Below are 26,192 nucleotides of genomic sequence, written 5' to 3' on the forward strand. Positions count from 1 at the left end.
ACTATTCTCTACAACTGTGCTAGTCAAAATCCTCCTTTCTACCCGCTAAGGACCTCTTGGGCAGATTTAATAGCATCAGGTTTACTTACATTCAGATAGAAAATCTCCATCCGGCCTAACTTAGAATTCCAGTCCCGTATGTGACGCAAAATTAGCTCTTCCCCGCCGCCTTACAGGCTGTGTGGACTGCTGAGGGGTTTGCTCCGGCCCACCCTCCCTCTCCTCTTTATTGTAGGCCCTATCTGTGTACTGGGAGGATGGGTGCAGAGGAGGGAGAAGAGAAGAGGTAAATTTCTCTTTGGAAAGCTCGGCAGGGTTCCAATTCTCTCTTCATCGGTTGACATGAGTTGGTCACCACTTCCCTCTCTGGCATAGCGTCCAAGTGCTCAATCTCCCAAGGTATAGATGCAGGTTTTTGGAGGTAGGGAGTACACATCTCACTGAAAAAGGAGATGCGCCTTGGCTTGAGTCTATTCCAGTACGCTCAACTTCCCTCACCAGCACACCCACCCCAGTCACCTACAGCTGAAGACACCCGGCGGCTGAGCCCTTTTAGGAATGCTGAAGCAAGATGGCTCATGCTCAACTTCCTTCCTCAGGCTCCACTGGACCCACAGGAAATTTCTCCATCCTTGCCCTGCCAAAAGGAGGGAGCACAGATTGCTCCACGGCCACTGGACACTGCCCTCGCCCCAGTTCTCTTCACTCTGGTTGCTGCCATGACGGCCACCAGCAAGTGTGAGACCCCCGATTCCCCTCTCTCAAGCACCCCTCATCTCTACCACTGACTTTCCTAGGTGACCCCTCCCAGGACTCAGCGAGTAGGAACCACCTACTCACTAATTCCAGAGAAAAAGAAAAACATCCCACGTGACATCCTGTTACACAACTAAAACCTCGCTGACCTGGTGAAATCACGGGGCAGAACCACAGCAAAGTCTCTGGAGAAGGAGCAAGGACAAAAGGCCAGGCGTCACGGAGGCAAGCGCTGCCTCGCCCTCGGCCCTTCTCTTCATGCCTCAGCACCCCCTCCGCTGGCCCTGGCTGCGTCAGAGGAGCTGCTGGGAGGTTCTCTGGCCTCGTCAGGCGTGTGCTCAGAGGTGGTAACCCCACAGAGCTTCCACGTGGAAACGAGGCTCTGCTGGAGAATTTTTGTAAACAGAAAAAACACCATGGTCAAACGGAGCGAGTGTGGGCTCTGGGGTTAGATAAGCCTGGATGTGAATCCTGGAATGTAAACTGTGAGACCCTGGGCAAATTACTTAACCTCTTTAAGTTCTAGCCCTTATCCATGAAAAGAAACAAAACAAAACAAAACCCTCCTAACTTGCCAGGATTCTTAAAAGAACTAAATGAGAAAGTACCTTGGCTGGGCACCGTGGCTCACGCCTGTAATCCTAGCACTTTGGGAGGCCGAGAAGGGCGGATCACCTGAGGTCAGGAGTTCGAGACCAGCCTGGTGAAACCCCGTCTCTACTAAAAATACAAAAAAATTAGCCGGGCGTGGTGGCGGGCACCTGTAAACCCAGCTACTCGGGAGGCTGAGGCAGGAGAATCACTTGAACCCGGGAGATGGAGGTTGCAGTGATCCGAGATCGTGCCACTGAGCTCCAGCCTGGGGGCGAGTAAAACTCCGTCCCAAAAAAAAAAAAAAAAAAAGTGCCTGCCATTTTTACAAGCTCAGCAAAGTCCCAGAACAAATTAATGACAAAGTCATGAACAAGGCTGCAGTGAGTTAGCCCTCATTTGAAAATTCAGCGAAGACTGCGACAACACCTTCATATGTTCTTAAAGCGCCACACCCTAGCACTAATACGTGCCCTGAAGAGTATAATTTTTTTTTGGAATTGACATTCAATACATGCTTGAAGACTTCATTGACTTTGTCTCCCAATTTTTTCTTTTTCTTTCGAGACAGGGTCTCACTCTGTTGCCCAAGCTGCAGTGCAGTGGCACAATCACAGGTCAGTGCAGCCTCAAACTCCTGGGCTTAAGCAATCCTCCCACCTCAGCCTCCCAAATAGCTGGGACTACAGGCCCATGCCACCACATCCAGCTCATTTTTTTCTGTTTTTTGTAGAGATGGGGGTCTCACTACGTTGCCCAGGCTGGTGTCTCCCAAAAAATGTCAACAAGTAATTCTGAGGCTTTCATCTGAACAGGCAGCTCTGGAAGTTCTCATGTGGGGCTAGCCTTGCTCAAAGGCCAGGAACGATTCAGGTCAGCTCCTAATCCTTTTTCTTTTTAATGAAACCTGTGAGCAAACCTGAGAAGTGCCTGCTTGCCAGGGTCCACACCTTCTAGAGCAAACTCAGTCTCCTGGCTACCAAGGAGGCCTAACACACTCTGGAACAAAAATCAACATACACAGTCTTTAAAAGAATGAAAGCTCTAAGTAAACAGTTTAAAACTCACGTGAAGTGTGCGTGCATGGATAAATATGAGAAGAGGGCATGGCTTGTACGAAACCCCAGTTTTCTTTAATGGATCAGTGTCAAACTCATCGCTGAGAGTAAACACACTTAGCACTAAATATACCCTTCAAATCAAATCCTTTGGATTAACTTATTTTAAATCTGGAATATGCCTGGCTCTACAGCTGCCACGTTTCCTAGAAGGTTTACACAACACAGTACATATCTGGATCACTGGTCCTAAAATTAGTAGGTGAATCTGTCTGGCTTTATTTAAATCTGAAAAAAACAGGGTAAGAAACAGGCTTCCCAATCTCTCCTCAGTAAAGCCCCCGTCTTTTCTCTTCCTTTTCTTATCTTGTCTTCAGTATATCTAAGCAGCTAATCATTAAATCATCTGTAACTATTAGGAAATTCAAAACAGCCCCACCTTGCTTCAACAAAGGGTACGAAGAAGAGGTGGGAAGGCAGTCACATTAGAAGGAAGGGTTTAAACACAATGAGCCAGAGAGAAGGGCACAAATTGACAGAGAACAGTAAAAGCCAGAGATTTTCTGGTATGTTTCAGTGAAAATCTTCCAGCAAAGGAGCTATTTTTTTTTTTTTCAGTTTGAAACTTTTATCTGTGTGTCGTGCTCTGAGAATTTAAAAGGAAGGGACCCTTTACTTATAATCTAGTAGAATGTGAATGTGATCTAGCTGTGGTATCGGTTTCATCACTGATCTCCAGGACTGATTCGCTCATCTGGCATCCGTGAGTAGTAACTCCACACACTTCTCTCCCGCTGTGTGCTTTGCTCCGAAGAAGACTGGATGGTTCTGAGATGAGGGGACGAGTAGGGCACTGATCTCACTCTAGGAAAACATCACATTCCATTATCCTGGACACAAATCATAATACTTGGTGACATGAAGTTCAGAGAATCCGTGAAAATCACCAAGGCCTGAGTATCCACACAAAGGATAGGATGCAGTTCTCGTGATTTCTGGGATCACCAATGAGTGTAGACCGTGTCTATAATTACCTCTTCCCCACAGTGTACACTTTTAAATGACTTGAGCTGCTGGTTCTATTTTACCCTTCCTGTTGTAATGTTTATTTCCTATGTTCTTTTTTTAATACCTTCACTGACATGTAATTCACATGTCATACTATTCACCCATTTAAAGCATACGACTCAATGGTGTTTGGTATACCCACAGAGTTGTGCAACCATCACCATGATCTCATTTTAGAATATTTCCATCACCCTAAAGAGACATCCACTACCCATTAGCGGTCACTCACCATTTCTCTCCCTTCCCCCAGCCCTCGGCAACCATCAGTTTACTTTCAATAGCTCTGAAATTGCCTGTTGAAAGCATTTCATGATTCCTTTGTGACAGACTTCTTCCTCTTAGTATGACACTTTCAAGGTTCCTCCATGTTGCAGTATGTATCCATAGTCCATTCCTTTTTATAGCTGAATAATATTCCACTGAATGGACATACCATATTTTGTAAATCCATTCTCCATTTATGAACATTTGGTTATTTACATTTTAGGCTATTACTAATAATGAACAAATATTCACATACAAGTTTTTATGTGGACATAAGTTTTCATTTCTCTTGGTTATATACCTAGGAAGGAACAGCTGATTCATATGGTAACTCTATTTTTAACTAAATTTAAAGTCCTTATGCTCTTTTACCTTTTCTATAGTGAAAAAAAATTTCAAACTCTAACTTACGAAGTGAAAAGTTTCCTAAAATGAACTTCTCACCCCACAGGAAAAACCACTGTAAACAGTGTGGTATACATTCTCTCAATTTTTTGTTTTTTGTTTTTGAGATGGAGTTTCGCTCTTGTTGCCCAGGCTGGAGTGCAATGGCACGATCTCGGCTCACCGCAACCTCCGCCTCCCGTGTTCAAGCGATTCTCCCGCCTCAGCCTCCCCAGTAACTGGGATTACAGGCATGCACCATGATGCCCAGCTAATTTTTGTTATTTTTAATAGAGATGAGGTTTCACCATGTTGGTCAGGCTTGTCTCAAACTCCCGACCTCAGATGATCCACCTGCCTTCGCCTCCCAAAGTGCTGGGATTACAGGCACAAGCCACTGCGCCCAGCCCCAATTCTTTTAACAAGATTAAACATAATTTCTCTATCCCACTCTTGTTGCCTAACAGGACATCCTGGACTCCTCTGCTTACCATACAAGGAGACAGAACTGGACGTTCATCTTTCTCCTCAGTCACAGGTCCAGGCACATTTTCATTAGTGGCTAGGAAAGTGCAATTGCAAATAAGCTGACTAAGGGACGTTTCATTCTGTCATCTCATTCTGTCTGCTGTAGTCAATGCACTTGTAGGTGACTTTGTGTCCATCCCTCTGGGGACTTCACTTGTTGAAGTTTTAGAAGACTTGGGTCTAAGGAGAAAAACTGGAATTTTATTGGACTTAACACTGATTCTCCTTAAAAACAAAAAAGTTAAGGCTGAGTGGGAGGTAAGTGTAAGATCAATGTGGCTCACTCCTTGATGTCTAGATATATTATTTCCTATTCGTTTTCTTAAATTAGAAAACTAATAAATTAATACATACATAATTGTAAACTAATACTTTTCTAACAATCAACAAGTAGAAAGCCCTCTACGTCCGCAAATCCTACTCCCTTCTCCATGGAATTTTTAGAGTTCAGGGTTTAACCTTTCAGATCTTTTTCTACACCTTTTTACACACCTAGAACTTTTTATGAAAAAAATATTTTTTAATTTACCTTATATTTTATAGTTCTTTCCAAGTCATAGGTATAGATTACTACAAGTTGAATTTGAAAAATAATAGCTGAGTACTTCGCAACAATTGAACTGCTGGAGCTCCAGAGTGAATTTTATTGTCAGAGCAGAAAGGGCTGTTTTAGAAAGAAACCAAGTACTAATACGGTATACTTAGGAGCACAATCTCCAAAATGAAGCCACATTCATTTGGGTGCCCCTGTGTGCCCAGCACAATGCTAGGGGCAGGGGAAATATGAAATGTACTTGTATAGTTGGAGGCTTCAGGTGCACTAGACCTCCAGGAAGTAGCCAGCAGGGTGCCCAGACACTGACTATGCCAAGAGGAACCGCCCCTTTGCAGATGAAGCAACCTGCACAAGAGATGGCAGTCGGCTAGCCTTTGCCTGTCTCCAGTTTCACAACTCAGGTGCAAAGACATGCATCGCAACGGTGACACTTACTTTAGGCCGGGTGTCAACGACATAAACGAAGTCACTTCCTGGATTGGCTTTCCTAATGGCCTGGAGCATCTGCTCGTCCTCTAGGCACCGGGCACTGAAGCCGGACAGGGGCTGGCTGCTCCGGCAGATGGAGGCCTAGGGGGAGAGGTCACAGCAACACAGCACCATCAGGTAACTGTACCCATGAGAGACACTCTACGTGTGTCTCCAGAACAAAGAGCCCTTGGCTCACTGATAGTCCACCTCGGCTTATGAAAACGTGATACAGCTTTCTGGAAATCAAGCCTTGTTTATTAAAATTCAAGTCAAACCACTAATGGGCAAGCAATACAAAGAACCTGTCTGTGCAAAATATTAGGAATGTGTAGAGATGTTTAGATAGGGTCTAAGTTATGATATTCAAAACCATTTAAATAATCTACTTTCCTTTTCACTGATATTGCTTCATTTTCCTGCTGAAAGAAAAAATACAAAATAAATAACCGTTCTCAAATGCATAGGATACGATTAATGGTGACATTAATAAAATAGAAATTATTTTTTAATGCTTTCCAACCTTTTTTTTTTTTAAACTAGCCCATCTAGAAACATCACAAATACCAAAAACCAATTCTAATTCTAAACGGGAAACTTTCACGGTGACAAGAGCCCAGGTTGCTGCTAGGTTTGAAACCGAAGGACAGCAGGCACATACCTGTGCTGACTCAAGTCTACTTAGAACAAGGGGGATTTTTTTTTGGAATCAATCTGCATTCTCTGCCCCAAGTCCCGTACCCTGCAATTCTGACAGAGTAGATTGCACTGTCAGATGACATCTAGAAGAGCAGAAACATTTCCCTGAGTTATGAGTAGGTAGTACAGATCCTACCTTGCAGCTATAAAACTTCGGCTTTTGTGGCAAAGTACTTTCATGGATTTAGGTTTTAACACTTAAACACAAAACACCCAATAAAATGCCTGAATGACTCAAAGCATCTACATTGAGACTGTAAGTCCACAGTGTGAAAGAATGCAGGCAGTGACAGAACCCCTCCATGCAGGATAATATGGAGGGGAAAGTTTCACTGCAAATAGTCCTGTCATGTCACAGCCTGTTCAGCGTGCTTGTATTGCAGGGTTCCATCCATGAAGGGGCACCCCAACTCTTAGTCCAACCATAGCTTAATTGTCTTTGAATCCCAACCCAGGACAACTGAACATGGGTTTGGATCTCTCCAAAGGGCTTGGGTGCTCCTTGTTGGAGAAGGTGGGGACATTTCTCACTAGCTCTGAAGTTGGAGAACCACAGAATGGCTGGACATATTACAGGGGCCATTGTCTGAGGGCGCCAACACCATTCTGCAGAGACGGACAATCACTGAGGGGGTTAAAGGAAGCCTGAGGCCTACAGCCAGATTGAGAATCCAGGGGGACAAGGTGTGGGCGTGGGAAGCAAAGCAAAGGGGCAGCAGCAGAGTCACTCCAGGGTGGCTCATTCCTGACTGGTGGGGAGGAGAAAAAGATCAAAGGGTATGGGCACGGCAGACAGAATGGCAAGCGACGGCAAGGCCAGGAGCAAGGGGAAGTGAAGATGGGGATCAAGAGGGACTTGGCAAGCAGAAGGCAAGCTATGTCCGAAGACCAGAAATCAAATGACACAGATGGCTTTCACAGGGGTCCTGTTTCCTTTAATCTTTAAGGGGTCAGGGTCTGCCACCTGCTCAGAGGGAATTCTTCCTGGAAAGAGAATAATTCTGAGTTGGCTTTAGATGATACTTTATCCGGGTTAAAGAAATATTAGTTAGCCCAGTGTGGTGGCTCACGCCTGTAATCCCAGCACTTTGGGAGGCCGAGGCGGGGGGATAACTTGAGGTCAGGAGTTCGAGACCAGCCTGTCCAACATGGTGAAACCCCATCACTACTAAAAATACAACAAACATTAGGTGGGCATGGTGGTACACACATGCAATCCCAGATACCCAGGGGGCTGAGGCAGGAGAATCACTTGAACCCGACAGGCAGAGTTTGCAGTGCACTGAGATTACACCACTGCACTCCAGCCCGGGCGACAGTGAAACTCCATCTCGAAAAAAAAAAGAAATATTAGTTAAGGACAGCTGCCACCAGACAATCTTAGATTCCATCAGAAGGGTTAGATGGGGATGGTAACACATTTAAATGACGAGAATTTGAGAACACACACACCAGACCTCACTAAAGCAGTGAGACACCAACTACAAAATGAAGCAATTTAGGGACAACAACTATTTCAAATTATCTTCTGGTTTAGAACAGCTAGTTTTAAATGAGGAACTATACTGGAACTGTTATATACTGTGGAATGTGGTCGATAAATTAAAACACGCATATTAAACAGACTACATTTTTGGTATTTTGTAGTTAGATTTTCTTAATAAACTAAAGATATGATCTAAATGGAATTTTTCATTGAATCAGTAATTGCTAACATGTGGTTTTCAATTGTGTGCAGAACAGTAAGTAGTCTCAGTGCTTTTGTGCACCTATACATGCCCTAGACAGATTATCCAAAGAGTATTACTATTACTTGGCAGCATTTCTTACTGATGTCAGAGCACAGATTAAAAACTCTTCAGTTGTAAACCGGAAGGGATAGCGCTCATTTACAATGCTACTAATAATTAAAATATTCAACATTTTTGATGGCTTACTACTGTTTTTGAGTGTTTATATGATAGGCACTATTATAAGAACTTTGCATATTTTTATTTAATTAGCCTAATTATCATATACAATAAGACCTATTATTGGCTCCACTTGATACATGAAGTGACCAAAGCACAGAGAGGTTAAGTAACATACTCAAAGTCACACAGTTAGTAAATAGGGAAGCCAAGATTTGAATCCAGACAGAGTATTTCCTGATCCTGAATTCTTAACAAAGTAATTCAAGCCCCAATGGGAGGAAATAGGTCAGGCAGCACAATACCTTATTAAGATACAGCATAAAGCCAGGCACAGTGGCTCATGCCTGTAATCCCAGCACTTCGGGAGGCCAAGGCAGGTGCATCACCTGAGGTCAGCAGTTCGAGACCAGCCTGGCCAACATGGTGAAACCTGTCTCTACCAAAAATACAAAAATTAGCCAGGAGTGGTGGTGCACGCCTGTAATCCCAGCTGCTTGGGAGGCTGAGGCAGGAGAATCGCTTGAACATGGGAGGTAGAGGCTGCAGTGAGCTGAGATCATGCCACTGCACTCCAGCCTGGGTGACAGAGCGAGACTCCATCTCAAAACATAAAGATGCAGCAGAAAGACCTGGCTTCCAGTACCAGTTGTGCTCTCACTCACTGTATGATGTTGGGTAATTTATGTATCTTCTCTGATCCTCAGTTTTCTCATCTATAAAATGGGTAAAATATTAAAACTACAGAGTGTGAGAAGGGGCATAACACTGTAAAACTCCTGGCACTGTGCCTAACACATAGGAAGTTTCAATAAGTATTCATTATGAAAAGAGACCATGAAGGTCTGTATTTTTCCTAAGGAAAGTTGCCTCACTGGAAATCTTCTAGAGTTTTGTTTCCTCGAAATGTGTACTGTAAATTTGGGAGACCATGCTGTGCACCATCTTAAAGTGAAACTTTAAAAAAAAAATCCTAGCGTAATAAAGAACAAAGGCTATAGCAATTCTAAGAACTCTCAAAGAAAGATGCACAGAATTCCGAACGCACATGACTAAGCATCTCTAACCATGATCTATAAAGCTGTTAATAGCTGGATATTCAAAGGGAGCCCACGTGGCTCTACATAACCCATGTGCGTAAGGCCTAAAATTAATATTATGTGTTGCTTCGACATCTGGTAAAACCGAGAGGGCCTCAAATGGCCTCACTGCAAGTTCCCTGCCACGCTCTGCTCCTGCAGGTAAGGTTCCCAAGTGAAACAATTCTTATCCAACAGACCAGGTGCAGTTCCTGCCCGTCCCCCAGAAGCAGGTTTTAGTTCCCTGCCAGTCATGGAATGATGCACGCAAGCTAATCACATCCTCCTGTGGGAACCAAGGGTGACCCCACGCTCCTGATACTACACAGCCTGCCTCTCACAGCCCCTGGCTGTCACTCTGCTCCTCAGCGCAACCTCATGTGCCCCTTCATGGGCTGTGGTGTCCTCCTCCCCTTGGCAGTGAGTATATGTGACTGTTCATCTCACCTGCCCAGTGTCAAGTGCTGTGTGTCTGGCTGTCCCTGTAACCTAGAGCAGGAATCCCTCCCTCACCACAGGGGTGAAAGAATGTGATTACATCCATTAAAAGTAATGGCAAAAACTGAAATTACTTTTGCACCAACCTAACACTACATGTGGTAACAGCTGATACAAAGGGAAAGATGGACCCTCCACAGGGGCCTTTATATTGAACAGAACTTCAGGTTCATAAAATCTCGTGCACTTCAAGCTTCTCCTAATCTGATCACCAGTTCCCAGTGCCCAAAATTAGCCAAGTCATCTCACCACCAAAATCAAAAGTGTCCCTTTGGTAGCATACGTGGGAAACAGTATTTTCACTATAAAATGTAGTATCCTTATTCATAAGCATAAATTCTTTGGGGGTAGGAATACATACTCTTTAAGCCTAAAATGTCTCAAATAACCAAAGAGAAGAAAGACAGATCAGCAAATTTATGGAATGTGTACCTGTTTACTTTTTGTGGGAGACTGCCTGTTTTCTATACGGCCATCGATGAGCAATGACAGCACAGATAACTACTCTGGTATTTCAGTGTCTTCCATTAAGCACAGAAATCCACCTTTGGTAATAATACTTCCCTTTAGGAAAAGCCCTAGTCAAATCAGAAGCATTTATATAATTAACCTTGATATTAAAATGTAAACATTGTTATAAAACACAAATTTGATCATTATTCCACCTGCAAAATAGATTTCAGTTCATGGGGTGGGAGAGTGGGCGGGCAGGTGTGTGCTCACTCGGGACTTCCCTGGGGTAACCCGATCACGCAGCGCTGCTTCGAGACACATCTCTGTTCTGTACCTTGGAAGAAGAGCTAGAGCTTCAGGTTGTTTCTGCTTTAAAATCTTAAATATGGGCAATGAATACTCTTAAGCTCTAACTATGCTGTGTGAGTTCATTTTCAGGCCTGGAGGTTCAGTAAAATAGCACTTGGGGGAGCAGGCGTGGAGCCATGTGGGTCTGAGGTCAGCCGGGGAAGAAGCTGCCTCTGAGGTCTAACTGCTAAAAATTCTCTTTCTGAGACAATACATATTTAATCCTGATACTACTCACATTGACAAAAAGTAAAATGTCCCTTGTCTCAAGAATATAAAAAGGGAGTTGCTAGGCACACTGTGCTCACTTTTTAAATATTCTACAGACAACAATAAAACACCTCTGAAACAACAATAAAAGATCGTTTCTCCCTCTCCTGGATTCATCTTCTCTCTTCTTTAATCAATGGATGCTACAAAAAAAAAAATGTGCATGTTACCAGCAACCTAATTTCAAGTGCAACATCATGAAACTTCCTATCTCTATTTATCCTATCTTAATAAAAAAAAAAAAAAAAAAAAAAAAAAGAGGCAAGGGGCGGCGCCTCACACCTGTAATCCCAGCACTTTGGGAGGCCGAGGCAGGCAGATCACTTGAGCACAGGAGCTCAAGACCAGCCTGGGCAACATGGCTTTCCTCGTCTCTACAAAAAATGCAAAACAATTAGCTGGGCCGGGTGGCACACGCGTGGTCCCAGTGACTCGGGAGGCTGAGATGGGAAGATCACTTGAGTCTGGGGAGGTCAAGGCTGCAGTGAGCCAAGATTGTGCCACTGCACTCCAGCCTGGGCGACAAGTGAGATCTTGTTTCCGAAAAAAAAAAAAAAAAATCACATCTTCCTTTGCCTCTAACCAGTGCTCCAGCTCTGTGCAAGCTGAAATACATTCAGAGTTAATAAAATACTTTAGACCCTAATTCAAGGCTAGGAAAAGAAGAAGAGCAATGAGTATAACTAAAAATAATTTTTATCCAATTCACAGAACTTTCACCACCAAATTAATATTTTCCTTCAAAGTAGCAACAGAGAGGGCTATGTGCTCACTCTGATGAAGCTGGCATTGCTCCAGATATTTTTGGAAGCTTCTAGAATCTGACTGAGACCCTGCTCTACCCCCCGGCTGTAGGTGCAGGCATGTGGATACACACTCACACAATCTCCTGTGTTTATAGCCTCACTCGGCTTTGAATCCAGAAGTATATTATCTAGCTTAAAAACTAAAGTTTCTCTCTCACCTTGCTAGAACCAAAGAACATTTTGTTTTTTTAAACCACCTTTTTTAAAGGTGGTTTTTTGCTACCTTTTAAAAGTGGGTGCCAAAGACCATTCTTGCTCATCCGAATTTGTTTTCCTATCCTCCGCAGAAATGGAACTCTAAGTTTTAGCTATTTTAATGGCCACCCATAACACTGTACTTCCACACCTGCCCTGTGCAATTCTGATGAAAGGGAGGTGTCACGTGGCAGTTTTTGGAAGCCTTCCTTAAAAAGCTGGGCACACAACATTAGCCCTCCGTCACCTGCCACCTGCAGTGTGTGGGTGGTGACTGTACTGAAGTGACCTCTTGCACCAGGCAGGCCATGGCCAAATCCAGGTGGTGGTAGAGCAGAAAGGTAGAAGGAGCTTGAGTACCTGAAGGCTAAGTGGGGTGGGGCCAGGCTACCAGGCTAGGACTGCGCACCCTGGTAATTTTACGCAACAGAAAAAAATTGTATCCTCTTAGAGCCACTGTTACTTAGAGTCTCTATTACAGACAAACCCAATTCTGGCTTTTATAAATAATATTTTAAAAATAAAACCCATGCTCTCTATAACCAAAGATTTCTTATACTGAAGATACTCAAAAGAACATGAAATTTAAAAACAGGTAATAAGGCCGGGCACAGTGGCTCACGCCTGTAATCCCAGCACTTTGTGAGGCCGAGGCAGGTGGGTCACCTGTGGTCGGGAGTTCAAGACCACCCTGGCCAACATGGTGAAACCCCTTCTTTACTAAAAATACAAAAAAAAAACCCAAAATTAGCTGGGCATGTTGGCAGGTGCCTGTAATCCCAGCTACAAAAGAGGCTGAGGCAGGAGAATTGCTTGAACCTGGGAGGCAGAGGTTGCAGTGAGCCGAGATTGCACCACTGCACTCTAGCCCAGGTGACAGAGTGAGACTCTGTCTCAAAAAAAAAAAAAAAAAAACGTAATAGAGAAAAAGAATGGGCCATGGACTTCGGGGGCTTTTCTAAAATAGGCATGCCACAGATCTCCAGCACTGAATAAGCAAAGAGATTCCCAAGGTGCCCACTTAGGACAGTATTCACTTGCATGATTAGCTTTAGGGGTTTTCTGAATCTATTGAGTCATTTTCTGAATCATTACATTACTGTCAAATAAACATAGGAAGTCTACATGAGATAAGGACTTAGCATAGTTGTATCATGTCATACCATGCACAGGAATATCCACATACCTTCTGAAGAATTCAAACACACACACACGCACAGCAGAAGGCAGCTAGAAAATGCCTGCTTATGATAAACTAGAAAAGCAAAGTGTAAAACAAAAACACGCCTCGAGACTTACGTGGTTATCTTTATAATAGTAAGAAAGGACAGGAAATCGCCGTCTACTCCGGAATTTGGAACTCCCCACTATGATGTGTGCCGTGGCCGATTTGGGAACGTACAGTTCAGTAGGATAAGAGTCACAGACCTGTCACCAGAAAATACAAAGAGATTTTTAGGCCATCTAGTAATGCCCTGCGAACTGCCCCCAGAAATTCCACTTCACCACGCTTACAGGTACATCCTTAAGTTCCCTTAACCATGTTACAGAGGAGGCTATTTCGAGGAAACTCAAAGCCACTTCAGAGGAAGGAAGTGCCGCTGATTCTATGTAATCATTCTGAAGGAACGCAAGCTACCCTTAGTGTTCTGTCCCCGTGCACTGTCCCCTCTCTCCAAGGGCTCTTTGTGCAAGACCAGTGACAATGAAGCCTTCCTTTCATCAAAAAGAGACAAACTGCCATTTTGCACCCTGGCTGAGAAAATCTGAGCTGCCAGGATTTGCTTGAAAGACAGAATGACACCAGGAGACAGTTTTCCTAAAACATAAGCACACTGGTTAAGCCAGCAGGTTAACTCTGTGGCTCTGACACGCCCAGTGTGCATTCCTGACCCTGACACATCACACAAGCTGATGCCTCCCCGGACACTCCTGCCCTCCACCTTCCCAAATCCCATCCGTTCTTCAAGGGCCAATCGAAGTTCCACCTCCTTCGGGAAGCTTCTTCCTTGACCTTTCAGCCCATGCAGATTTCCTAATGTGCCACAGATTACCGCGCAATGTAACAGCTTGATTTTTGTTTCTTATGTGTTGAGTTGATAAGTGGTAAGGATCGATGTACTCTTTCTACGCATTCCTGAGAGTGACTACCACAGTGGAAGGGTGCCTTGGAAGGATCTTGCAATTAAGAACCAGAAATCAGCAGTTTAGGACCTGGCTCTGACTGAGCAACTTCATGACCCTGGGGAAGCCAAACTACACGGTGCACTGTGGTTTGCTAATCTCTAGAAGTGATACTGCAGCAACAATATCTCATGGGGTTGACAGATGGATCAAATCCGGCAACACCCATGGCAAAGCACTTTATAAACCACTAAATCCAAAACAAATGTTAGTGGTAGCAACAGTGATAGCAGTTGAGGCTACTGTTGCTCAACACATTTTGCTTTCACTTCAGTCCATCAGTCTTTTCGCAATGTGAAGATCACCCACATGGAAGTGTCCTGGGATATGTCAGGCACCTCTTTACTTCCTGGATGTCAAACATCTTCCTCGTCATCTCAAGGGAGTCCTCAAGTACGTCTAACAACAGGGGTGTACTAGTCCATTTTCATACGGTTATAAAGAAACACTTGAGACTGGGTAATTTATAAAGGAAAAGGTTTAATGGACTCACAGTTCCACATGGCTGGGAGGCCTCATAAGCATGGCAAAAGGTGAAGGAGGAGCAGAGGCACGTCTTACGTGGTAGCAGGCAAGACAGCGTGTGTAGGGGAACTGCCCTTTATAAAGCATTAGATCTTGTGAGACTTATTCACTATCATGAGAACACCATGGGAAAGACCAGCTCCCATGATCCAATTACCTCCCACCGGGTCCCTCCCATGACATGTTGGGATTATGGGAGCTACGATCTAAGATGAGATTTGGGTGGGGACACAGAAACCCACATCAAGGGGAAATACTTTATCTGCAGGCCCTGTGTCCATCTCCACCCACCTTTATCACTCTGGAAGATGGGTTTGTAGGGGTTGAAAACCCACAACTGAAATCCAAGCCTCTTATAAAGTCTTCTGTGATGATGCCTCCCTTGCTGACCTCCACTGTCTTTGTTAGCAGAATAGAAAACTACATAGAGCAGGGAATAAAAGGGCCACAGAAGAGATGTTCACAGGCCCAAAGTCTAATTTCAGGGTTCTACCAGACATTTTAGGAAAGAAGATTACCAAAGAGTTTAACATGGCCTGTGGCACTGACACTCTAAAGGAAAATCTGCCAAGAACAGAAGGCTCAACCAACTTGGACTCAGAGAGCTTTAGCTGGGAAGACTGCCATAAAACACGGCACTCCCTCCCCCTTGCCAATCTGGTGTCTGAACCTCCATGAAGTCAGCCAGCTAGAAGACTATGACGTGGACCACACCTGTTTGTTTGAGGTTCAAGAGACATGTAGTCATTGCACCAGACCAACAACATTTTCCTAAAATAACAGTTTTTAAAAGGAAATGAGTAGGTTTTCAGCAAGTTGGGAATTACCTACATTCTTCCTTGTAACAACACTAAGGAACTGCAAAGTTTCATGATTAAATAACAGTAACATGCAAGATTTGTCAACATGCTTATTTCAGACAGCCTCTTTGAAGAGCAAGAGATAAGCTCCTGCTAGGCCCTTTTATGGTCTTCTAAGGCTAAATAAACACCTAGGTTCACTGGCATCAAGGCCCTGTGTGCACCATAGCTGGAATGAGACCAAACAGAGAAAATCAACACCCAGAGGCCCACTCTCCTTGGCCCCAACTCAGGGCCCTCTTGATTCACAAAGGAGCAAGAAGACCACCTCCTGCCCTCTAAGAGCACCAGAGCTCTCACTCTGCAGAGTAGAGGTATGTAGATTTTGATGGCTTGGCATGTGCCAGGACAAAGAGCTCAACAACCTGCGCCCAGTCACCAATGGCCAGGCTTGCATCAGATGTGGAGGCCTCCCCTCTATGAACACAATACCAGTTATGAGGATTTCTGCCTTCCCCAGAGCACTGGGTCTAGGGGAAAAAGCTCCATGGGTCACAGCTTAAGTTATAAGGCATTCTGATGAGTACTTGCTCGGGGAACTCTAAGAAGCTAGAATGCATTTGAGAAAAGCAGATTTAGGGTGTCAGTTAACACGGGAAGATACAACCTCTTACCAAGCTAGAAGCATGGATATTTGTCCTGCTTTCATCAAAGTAGACAGCACTCTCAAGTGGAAATTAAAATAACAATCCTACCTTGAAAATATAAAACACCACTGAAAGGAATTAAAGACACAAGTAAATGGTAAGATACCTGTGTTCATGCACTGGAAGACTTAATATTGTGAAGATGTCCATCCTACACAAAGCAACCACAAGGCAATCCCTATCAAAATCTCAAGGGCATTTTGTGCAGAAGTAGAAAAATTCATCCTAAAATTTACATGGATTCTCCAGGGACCCCAAATAGCAAAAAACGATTTTGAAAAAGAACAAAGAGGACTTACACTTCATAATTTCAAAATATAGTACAAAGCCATATCTATTTTGCAGCAATCAAACAGTGTGGTACTGGAATAAAGACAGACAAATAGGCCAATGGAATAGAGAACCCAGAAGTAAACCCTCATGTATATGGTCATATGATCCATAGCATGGGTGCCAAGACTACTCAATGGGGTAAGATTAGTCTCTTCAACAGATGGTACTGGGAAAACTAGATACCCACATGCAAAAGTAAAATAAAATAACGATGGGTCATATCTTGTACTATATAAAAAAATTAACTCAAAATGGACTAAAGACCTAAACATAAGACCCAAAAGTATTAAACTCCTAGAAAAGAACATAAGGGACAAGCTTTATGACATTGGAGTTGGCACTGATTTATTATGTATGACAGCAAAAGCAGAGACAACAAAAGAAAATACTAGACAAATGGAACCATATCAAACTTAAAAACTTTTATACATCAAAGGACACAATCAAAAGTGAAAAAGCAACCTACAGAATGTGAGAAGCTATTAGTAAATTGCGTATCTTAGGGAAATCAAAATCAAAACCACAATGAGATGCTAACTCACAATTGTTAGGATGGCCACTATTACAAAATGAAAGAATGAAAACATAATAAAACTAGTACTGGTGAGCACTCAGATAAATTGAAACCCTAGTGCACTGTGGATGGGGATATAAAATTATGTAACCACTATGGACAACAGCATGGAGGCTCTTCAGGAATTTAAAAATAGAATTCCTACATGATCCAGCAATCTCACTTCTGGATGTATGCCCAAAGGACTTGAAAGCAGAATCTCCAAGAGATACTTGCACAACCATATCCGCAGAGCATTATTCACAGCCAAGAGGTGGAAGCAACCCAGATGTCCATCAAGTGATGAATGGATAAGCAAAATGTGGTATATCATTACAATGAAATATTATTCAGCCCTAAAAAGGAAGGAAATCCTGTTACATGCTATAACACAGATGAACCTTGAGGACATTAAATGACATAAGCCTGTCACAAAAAGAAAATACTGTATGATTCCACTTATATGAGGTATCTAAAGTAGTCAAATTCATAGAAACAAAAAGTAGAATGATGGTTGCCAGGGGCTGTGGTAGGTGGGAATGGGGAGTTGTTTAATGGGTATAGAGTATCAGTTCTGGAGTTGAAAAGTTCCAGAGATCTATTATAGTACAAGAATGTCAATCTACTTAACACTCCTAAACTATACCTTAAAAATGACTAAGATGGCAAACTTTACGTTATGCATTTTTTAAATCACAATGAAAAAAGAAAAGGGAAAACAATCTTAGCATTGACTGCTGCCATTTTTGCAACAAGCTCACAGAGTTGTAGTCAAAACTCTGACAATACATAATGCGCACAATGATGCAACATATGTCGCTAATTTTCAAACACCTCAGTATGCCTCTCAGGATTTTGTCTGGTTTGGAAAACCACCTGACAAAATTCAGAGAGAATATGAGAAGTTCAGAGGAATGGAAAATGTTTTTCTCCTGAATTTTCTTTACATGCACTCTGCCTTAGTTAATGAAAGTGGATTAGTCAGTTAATCACTTTGCCATTTTTTAAAATGAATAAGGAAACCGATTTTCTTTGTGCTCCACTAAATTAATTGACCTTCCTGGAGTGCCCACATCCCTTGGTGCTGTCCTGGCAAGGGGAATCTTTTGGTAACTCTTTCACTCATTCAACAAGCTTTTACTGAGTACTTACTATACGCCAGGCATTACTCTCAGCTGCAAGAGCAGAAATGAGTAAGAGTTTTTGGCCTTGAAGATTTCACACTCCCAGGACAGCTGATCTTTGTTAACCAAGTTAGAATCTTCCAGTAAATATATTTATCACTGCAGGCTACTAGCCATCTAAGATGCAATCCAAAAGTGTCACTCAGCCCTCCAAGGACCAATCATTCATCTGAGCACTGTAGGGTAAGAGTTGTCAGAAACTGAGAGATATCTATACAGACAATCTTCTTAAACATTTCAGTGCTAAAATTTATTTCAAGGAATTTATGATGAACAGGGAGAAGGAGGAGGTTATGAACAGGATAAAATGACATATATGTGAATAAAACAAAATAATGCATGATACATAAAATATAGCTGTGGAGAACTGAAATAAATGAGCTTTAATAAACTGACTGGTTTGGGTTGTATTTTATATTTTATTCCAAGAGAGTTAGATTAAAACTTTAACCTAGCAATGAATACAAATTACTTTATTTAAATAAAGACAATTTCAAGGGTTAGGTAAAAAAAGAAATCTGAGCTTAGAGACTTAGACTACCATAAGCAAGTGTCTTATAAATAGCGATGGTGGTAAGATGATACAGATAATAGTAATAATTAGCCTGCCCAAGGCCAAAGAAAATAGCAGAATTGGTTCTAGAATCTAAGTTTTGTATTCTACGTCTGCTGTTATTTCCACCATCGACAATTGTTTCTTTTCCATCAAATGACACTTCCTGACCCACCGACCTCAAAGGATTTGTGAGAAGAAATAAGATAAGTTGTCAAACAAGAGAGGAAAAAGTAAACGTTTTCTCAGCCATGGGGTCAAAAGCAAAAGGAATGGATTTGGATATCTCTCTCTCCATGGATTATTAGTCAAAAATTTTCTGAAATAAGACAACTTGTGTTCTCTTGCTAAGTTAGTGACAAATCAGGATACATCATCTTCCTCCCATTTCGGTGATATTTGCAAAATCAGAAAATCCCCTAGGTTTTTACCTTTTCTGCTTCAAAACAGTTTGTTCCTTGTTAGTTTTGTTTTGCTGTTAGTTTTGTTTTGCTGTGTGTTGCTTCTGAAAAGAAATGCTGAGTAACTCATGTTTTGCAGGCTGTGCAACGTAGGACTTAAGTGACTATATATGAGTCATGTTTATGCGCTAATTCTAGAAGGAAATCTCATCAAAAACAGAAGAACCTGTATTTCCAAGGAGACGTTATTCCACAAGATGTGGTTCAGTCTCATTTTCTTCCTTGCCCAAGGATGTGTCATATTAACAAAAAGAGTATCCAATTTTCTTTACTAAACTTGGATTTTCCTTTCTTTCAAGGCTAAAAATTCACTGCAAAAGTTAGCTTTAGTATGAGAACAAATTAGTCTGATTACATGAGTCAGATACTTTATAATAATTAACTTTATGGTTGTTAAATTTAAGTGTAATTAAGAGGAAGATTCAGTGTCATGGAAGTGTCCATTCTAGCCCAAATAATCCATAAATTCAAGATATCCTGATGAATTATGTCAAAGAACTGACTTTTAAGTATCAAGATTATAAAGCCATAATAATCATAACTGGTAAAAATATAATTGTGGGATTTATACAGCGTCAAATTGGGACAAAGTTTAGCAAACAGACCAGGATTAAAAAATTAAAAAAAAAAACAGTATGCTAAAAGACAAAACATGGTAAGAAAGATTGACAACTCAAAACTTCTGAAGAAACTTGGAACAGTGTATCAGAATCTCCTGAGACAAGATATCTGCAAGAGCTATAAATTATAACAAATTATTGGCTACATTATATAAAGAACTACAACAAGAAAACAACAAATAATCTTATAGAAAAAAGAGCAAAAATGTGAGTAGATAATTCACAGAAGAGTCAACATGAACAGCCAAGAAACACAAGCTTAACCTCACTAGTCAATCAGGTCAATGCAAAAACCACATCGAGATCCAATTCATACCAATCAGTTTGGCTCAAAGTTAAGACCAGTTAATAAATCCACATGGTTATATAAATGAAACAATACCAAAAGGTGCATAAAATGCTACAAATAAAAGCAAAGGAACAACAATGCTAAACTGCATCCAGTGGTGCTGGAGCAGGAGAAGAAATCCCACTTTCATCCTTGTGTCCTATCCACCCCATTACCAACACCACTCTAGGTTATCACTTTTGGGCAAACGTGTTATTATTCTCCCTCCTTTGTTAAGCCAAAAGGTATTATACTATATTCACCATATTGTGTCTTGCTTTTTCTAACCTAACAATATATTTTAGCAATTTTTATCAGTACATAGGAACCTTCCACATTTCCTTTAATGGTTACAAACTAACTTAATCATACGGATAGAGCAAAAATTATTTAGCTGGCCCCCATTCCAAGAATTAGGTTCTTGGAAAGTCACAGTTTCCAAGAAACTAATTAAAGATATTTGGGTTTCTTCTAATATTTACTATTATGAAAAACGCTTCAAAAAAATAACCTTGGGGTCCAGGCATGGTGGCTTGCCTGTAATCCCAACATTTTGGGAGGCAGAGGCGGGCAGATCACTTGAGGTCAGGAGTTCAAGACCAGCCTGGCCAACATGGTGAAATACCATCTCTACTACTACTACTAATAATAATAATACAAACATTATCTGGTTGTGGTGGTGGGTGTCTGTAATCCCAGCTACTTGGGAGGCTGAGGCAGGAAAATTGCTTGAACCCAGGAGGCAGAGGTTACAGTGAGCTGAGATCGCCCCACTGTACTCTAGCTTGGGCAACAGAGTGAGGCCCTGTCTCAATAAAATAAAATAAAATAACCTTGGGTATCAGTGTGTGTGTATGCTATTAAATCCACAGAATAAATTCTCAGAAGTGGCACTGTGGGATCAACAAAGAAGAATACCAGCGAATATCACATCAATACCAACCGTCGGGGAGTCTGTGCCGTAATGAGAACTCATATCTTGCAAGCAGGCCAATATGTCCACGCAAACACTTTAGAAAAGAATTTTCCAGAATTTAGTAAAGCTCAAATCTATATACTCTCTAGCTCATAAACTCTACTCCTAAGTAGAAACACAATATACTACAAGACATATACAGCCCACTTAACAGCTTTATTCATGACAACAAAACACAACCAACAAAAGAAAAAAAGAAAGAAAGAGGGAAGGATGAGTAATTTTTAAAACTATGTTATATTTGTGAAATGGAATACAACACAGTAGTGAAAAATGAAGGAATCAGAGCTATCAGTATCAACAGTTACTAATCTCTCTATGCCTTAGACAATTACTTAATCTCTCTGTCATACTTTCTCCATTTGTAAAGTAGAAATAATAATACTACTATACACAGAACTAATATTTGCTAACATTTATCAAGTTTTTAGAACAGTACCTGGCATGTAGTAACTATATACATGTTTCTTAAACGAAATGGATGACAAATACAAATGTTACCATGTTGAGTGAAAAGTCAAACTTCAGAAAACTATATACAGCATATGCAGACCAAGTACAGACAGTATAAAAACATGCAAAACAATACCACATACTACTACAGTAAGTCCTTGCTCAACAATGCCCTCAGGTTGTAGGCAATTGCAACTTTAAGCAAAAGAACATAAAACACCTTTTTTTCCCTCATAGCTATCACAAAATGATGTCGAGCAAAATGATGTTATTTGAGAATATCCTGTACATCGTTTCACTCAAAGTCGCAGTTTCCAAGAACCTACTGACATTAAGTGAGGCCTTCCTATATTTAGAAATGTAGACATGCTATAATAAAGGCAAAGGAATAGCAATGCCAAACTGCAGACATTGATGCTGGAGCAAGAGACAATTTGGAAGGAACATCTGGGAAATTAACTAGCACTGGTGATGTTCATTCTTATACAGCACATGGATCCCTGGCATTCATTCCGTTATTCTTCAAAGTCCTGTGTATGCCATAAGTGTGCCATAAGAAATAAATAACTTTTTTTCTTTTTTTCCTTCTCTACTTTGTAGGATGATTTAAGTAACTTTTATTCTAAATGAAAGATACTCAGTGGAGGAAAAGCAATAGGGTATATACTTCTGAAATAATTACAAGCAAATACAGGGAAAAACCATCCAGTCATAGACATGAAAAAGGAAAAAGCATAATTGACAAAACATACAATACAAGATATCTAGAACAATATCACAGATAGTATTTTACCGCAAAAAAGATTTTCAGATTGAGTAAAAAAATCTAACCAAACTCAGCTTAAAAAGACAAAACATTTACATAAGAAGGTTAAAAAGAAGGGGTTAAACAGAGCTCCACCAAGCAAACTCTGACAAAGAGAAAGAAACAGTGGAAATATAATCATATAAAATAGAATTCAAAGTTTAAATAATTCACAGGAAAAGGGATATGTGAAACTGACAAAAAGAATACACCAAGCAGATGTCCTTAATCATTACGTGCTAAGCAGAGTAACTTTAAAATATATAATGCAAACATGTTAGGACTTAAGGAGAAAATGTCCAATCACAATCATAACAGGAATATTTTCACATACCTCTGTCAGAATCAATTGAGCAAAGAGACCAAAATAATAAGAAATTCAATTTAGATAAATGCGAAATTTCACACCTAAATAATAGAGAATACACATTTTTCCAGACTCAAAATACTTATTAAAAATAGAATACTGTGTTTTATGATGACATACGTCTTCAAAACATTCCCCAAATATGAATTCTATAGGCCATGTGCACTGAATGCAATATAAGGGACTAGAAACTAACAAATACTGATCAAAAACAAAAACATCAGTATCCTACCTGTCTGTAATTTTTAAAACAATTAGGCCCTTTATGCCTTTTGGTAGATTCAGGAAAGATTTTTCTTATAAAATAATTTTAAGTTGGGGGAAATTATACACATAAGGATACTATATCAAGAATTATTCATATGGCAAAAAAAAGTCTAAATAATCTAAAAGCCCTTTTTAAAAAATTTGAGACAAGGTTTCATTTTGTTGCCCAAGCTAGAGTGCATGGCGCGATCATGGCTCACTGCTGCCTCAACCTCGCAGGCTCAAGCAATCCTCCAGCCTCGACCTCCCAAGCAGCTGGGACTACAGGTGCACACCTCCATGTCCAGCTAATTTTTTAAATTGCTTTTGTGGGAATGGGGTTCTCCCTATGTTGCCCAGGCTGGTCTCAAACTCCAGGGCTCAAGCAGTCCCCTCGCCATGGCTTCACGAACTGTTGGGATTACAGGCATGAGCCACCATGCCTGGCTTAAATGCGTATTAATAAAGAAATACTTTAGTACTTTACAGTACATTCATTTGACGGACTACTGTACAATCATTTCATTGATTGTTTAAGTACCATATAGCAATGTAGCAAATCCTCGTGAAACTGGGCGAGATGACTCACACATAATTATAGCAATTTGGGAGGCCAAGGGAGGAGGACTGCTTGAGCCCAGGAATTCGAGACCAGCCTGAGCAACATGGGGAGAACTTATTCCTACAAAAACTTTGAAAAATTAAGCAATTATGGTAGCATGTGCCTGTAATCTTAGCTACTCAGGTGGATTGCTTTGGATCTGGAGTTTGAGACTGCAGTGAGCTATACTGCACTGTACTCTAGCCTGGGTAACAGAGTGAAACCCTGTTTCCTTAAAAAAAAAAAAAAACCTGAAAGAAAATCCCTGTGACAAGGTCAAGAAAATACCCAGAATTCAAAATATGCAACTGGAAATGGTCATTTATCAGGAGATAAAATACAAATGGTCAATCAATATAGAAAAAGCTACAACTCAAGAAATCAAGATATGAAGATTAAATTAAAATAAGAAATCACTCATTATACCATCAAGGTATCAAAAGATTTTTAAAAACTAACTCTTTACTGGTGAGGGTATAAGGAATCAAGCATTCACAATTGAGAATTCATAGACATTGGTACAACCTTTCCACAATTATTTTTGACAACATGTACAAAACTTTGTGTAGGTGTTTTGACATAAAAATTATATTAAAATGCTATCTTTTAAAAAAATTAAAATATGGGCAAAGGTATAGTTACCAGGATGTTCTCCATTATTTAAAATAGTGATGAGTAATGACGATCTAAATGTCTAAAAATTAGAGAGCAGGTAGATATTATTTGATACAGCCATACTTAGGTAATACTATGCAGTGTTTTACAAATATAATTATTGACAGAAAAATGTCACAATATGTATGTGAAGAAAAGCAGAATATAAGGCACATGTAATGATTCCATTTTTGTTATATATGTTTAAATAGGTTTGTGTGTGCAAACATAAAAAATTAATATACACATTAAAATCCCAGAAGACTATTGGCCAGATATAATAACAGTGGCTATCTCTGAATGATGGCAGTTTTAGGTGATTTAATACCCTTTTGCTCTATGTTTTCCAATTTTCAATAATGAATATGCATTACTTACATATGAAAAAAGTTATCAAACTATACAGATGAGAAAACAACTGAAGGAAAATTTTAAAACAGAAGAATGTTTTAAAAATGGGATGGTGGGTTTGGGGTTTTTTTTTTTCCTTTTGTAAACTATCTAGGATGTTCTCACATTACTTTTGTTACTCAAATATTTTTAAAATTATAGTGAAACCACCCCTGATCTGTAAGCCTGTCATTAAGGAGAAGATGGGATTAATTCTGCCACTCTAGCTTCCCTGCCTCTCCATATTCCTTCCTGTGAGTGTAGACATGTTTCTCTAGGGAAGCCTCTTGGTGACCTTGTGTACCAAGCAAGGACTCAGTGAGTACATAGAGGAGCCGGTGCCAAACTGCCTTCAGAGTCTCCCTGACTTGCCCACTAATCACTCACTACACTATAAAAAGACCTGATGGGAGAATGAGATCCAGGCCAGCTCTCCCACCAACTGCCTGTCCACAAGGCCTGCCACCCGGCCTCTCTGGGTTTCAAGTTCTGCAACCGTGAGATGAAGGGTCTGGAAGGGGTGATCTGTATAGCAGGTTCAAACGTTTTGATTCTAGGTCCAGGTTGTAAATACAGCTGGCACTAACCAAGAGAGACCTGGAAATCCACATATGGATATCTACAAAGAGCTATAAAACCTGAAGGAGATAAAAATAAAGGGATGCTAAGCTGGCTGAAACCCTAATTTCATGCGGCTTCAGTGTTTGGGTTTCACGCACTCACTCTGTAGTCTCTATTCACATCGCTGAGCTGCCAGTAATGATTAGGGAGGCCCATCCGCGTGTATTCTTCACTAAGATCGATCAGCACCCAGCCTTGCTCTCTTTCTTCTTTATCCAGCATGGGGTTGAATGAAAAGCAGTATAACTCCTCATATTTCACTGCAAGAAAAGGTAGGATAAAGTTAAATCAAGCTTAGTCAAAACCAGAGCCAAATCTCCCCGAAAACATTCTGTCCCACCTGGAGTGCCCAGAGAGGCCATCCCAACCCCCACCCCCAGCACACTCTTGGGAGTAACCTGTGTGCAGTGGATAGGGTCCCCCACTTCCTCCCACCAATGACAAGATGACCTTGGGGTACCTGAACTCAACTTGGCAGTACCTTCTTTCCTTTTAGAACACAGGGACATCTCCATTTTGTGCTTTTTTTGTTGTTGCTTTAAAAGCAAATATATTTTCCAGACCACATCAAATATGGAACATAAAAATTAAGAACATATGCATTCATTAGGCATGAAGATTCCATTTTTTTAATGCCTATCAAGCTTGGATTTGGGATGGCCTCTCAGAGGCAGACACAAGGCCCAGGCCAATTGCACATTTTGATGCTCACAGGGTTAAAAAAGAAAAAAATAATAAAGTTGAAAAAACTCTGGAATATACTAAACGTTTGCATTGGAAACATCTGAACTTTAAACAACTACATAAATATCGTAATTGTGCTGCTCATTTGCATAAGATTCATAAAAAAAATCAATTCATACTGCACAGCGCTGTGCTCGTGGGATGCGAATTGAAGGC

At 41.1% G+C, this 26,192-nt stretch overlaps 1 protein-coding gene and 1 long non-coding RNA gene across 6 annotated transcripts in view, besides 2 other annotated features; one reads left to right on the forward strand and one right to left on the reverse strand.

The window, feature by feature from the left end:
- Positions 1-26,192, reverse strand: part of MTMR7 (myotubularin related protein 7) — a 116,558-nt gene that overhangs the window by 38,929 nt on the left and 51,437 nt on the right. For 3 of the 5 annotated variants that reach the window (NM_004686.5, XM_047422407.1, XM_047422408.1), the window contains 3 exons: positions 25,395-25,552; positions 13,231-13,359; positions 5,641-5,775 (listed from right to left, as the gene is read on the reverse strand). In NM_004686.5, the coding sequence (NP_004677.3) occupies positions 5,641-5,775; positions 13,231-13,359; positions 25,395-25,552 (422 nt within the window). Of the gene's footprint in view, positions 1-89; positions 1,431-5,640; positions 5,776-13,230; positions 13,360-25,394; positions 25,553-26,192 lie in introns of those variants that run through there. The other 2 variants (XM_011544693.3, XM_006716414.4) reach the window with 2 other exon arrangements.
- Positions 121-1,320: an enhancer, noted in NCBI's record as "CDK7 strongly-dependent group 2 enhancer chr8:17193352-17194551 (GRCh37/hg19 assembly coordinates)". NCBI's record gives its function as "activates an origin of replication core promoter dependent on BRD2, BRD4, P300/CBP, MED14 and CDK7 cofactors, with strong dependence on CDK7, by STARR-seq in HCT116 cells {active_cell/tissue: HCT116}" and the evidence as "EXISTENCE:reporter gene assay evidence [ECO:0000049][PMID:35650434]".
- LOC102724838 (uncharacterized) overlaps positions 9,323-26,192 on the forward strand; it is a 37,115-nt gene continuing 20,245 nt past the window's right edge. Inside the window, exon 1 of the long non-coding RNA XR_428318.4 lies at positions 9,323-9,523. This is a non-coding gene — a long non-coding RNA (uncharacterized LOC102724838). The remainder of the gene's footprint in view (positions 9,524-26,192) is intronic.
- Positions 13,878-14,172: a silencer, noted in NCBI's record as "tiled region #14094; HepG2 Repressive non-DNase unmatched - State 23:Low". NCBI's record gives its function as "represses a minimal TATA promoter and a strong SV40 promoter by Sharpr-MPRA in HepG2 cells {active_cell/tissue: HepG2}" and the evidence as "EXISTENCE:reporter gene assay evidence [ECO:0000049][PMID:27701403]".

Source organism: Homo sapiens, chromosome 8 (genome assembly GCF_000001405.40).
Source record: "Homo sapiens chromosome 8, GRCh38.p14 Primary Assembly".
NCBI lineage: Eukaryota > Metazoa > Chordata > Mammalia > Primates > Hominidae > Homo > Homo sapiens.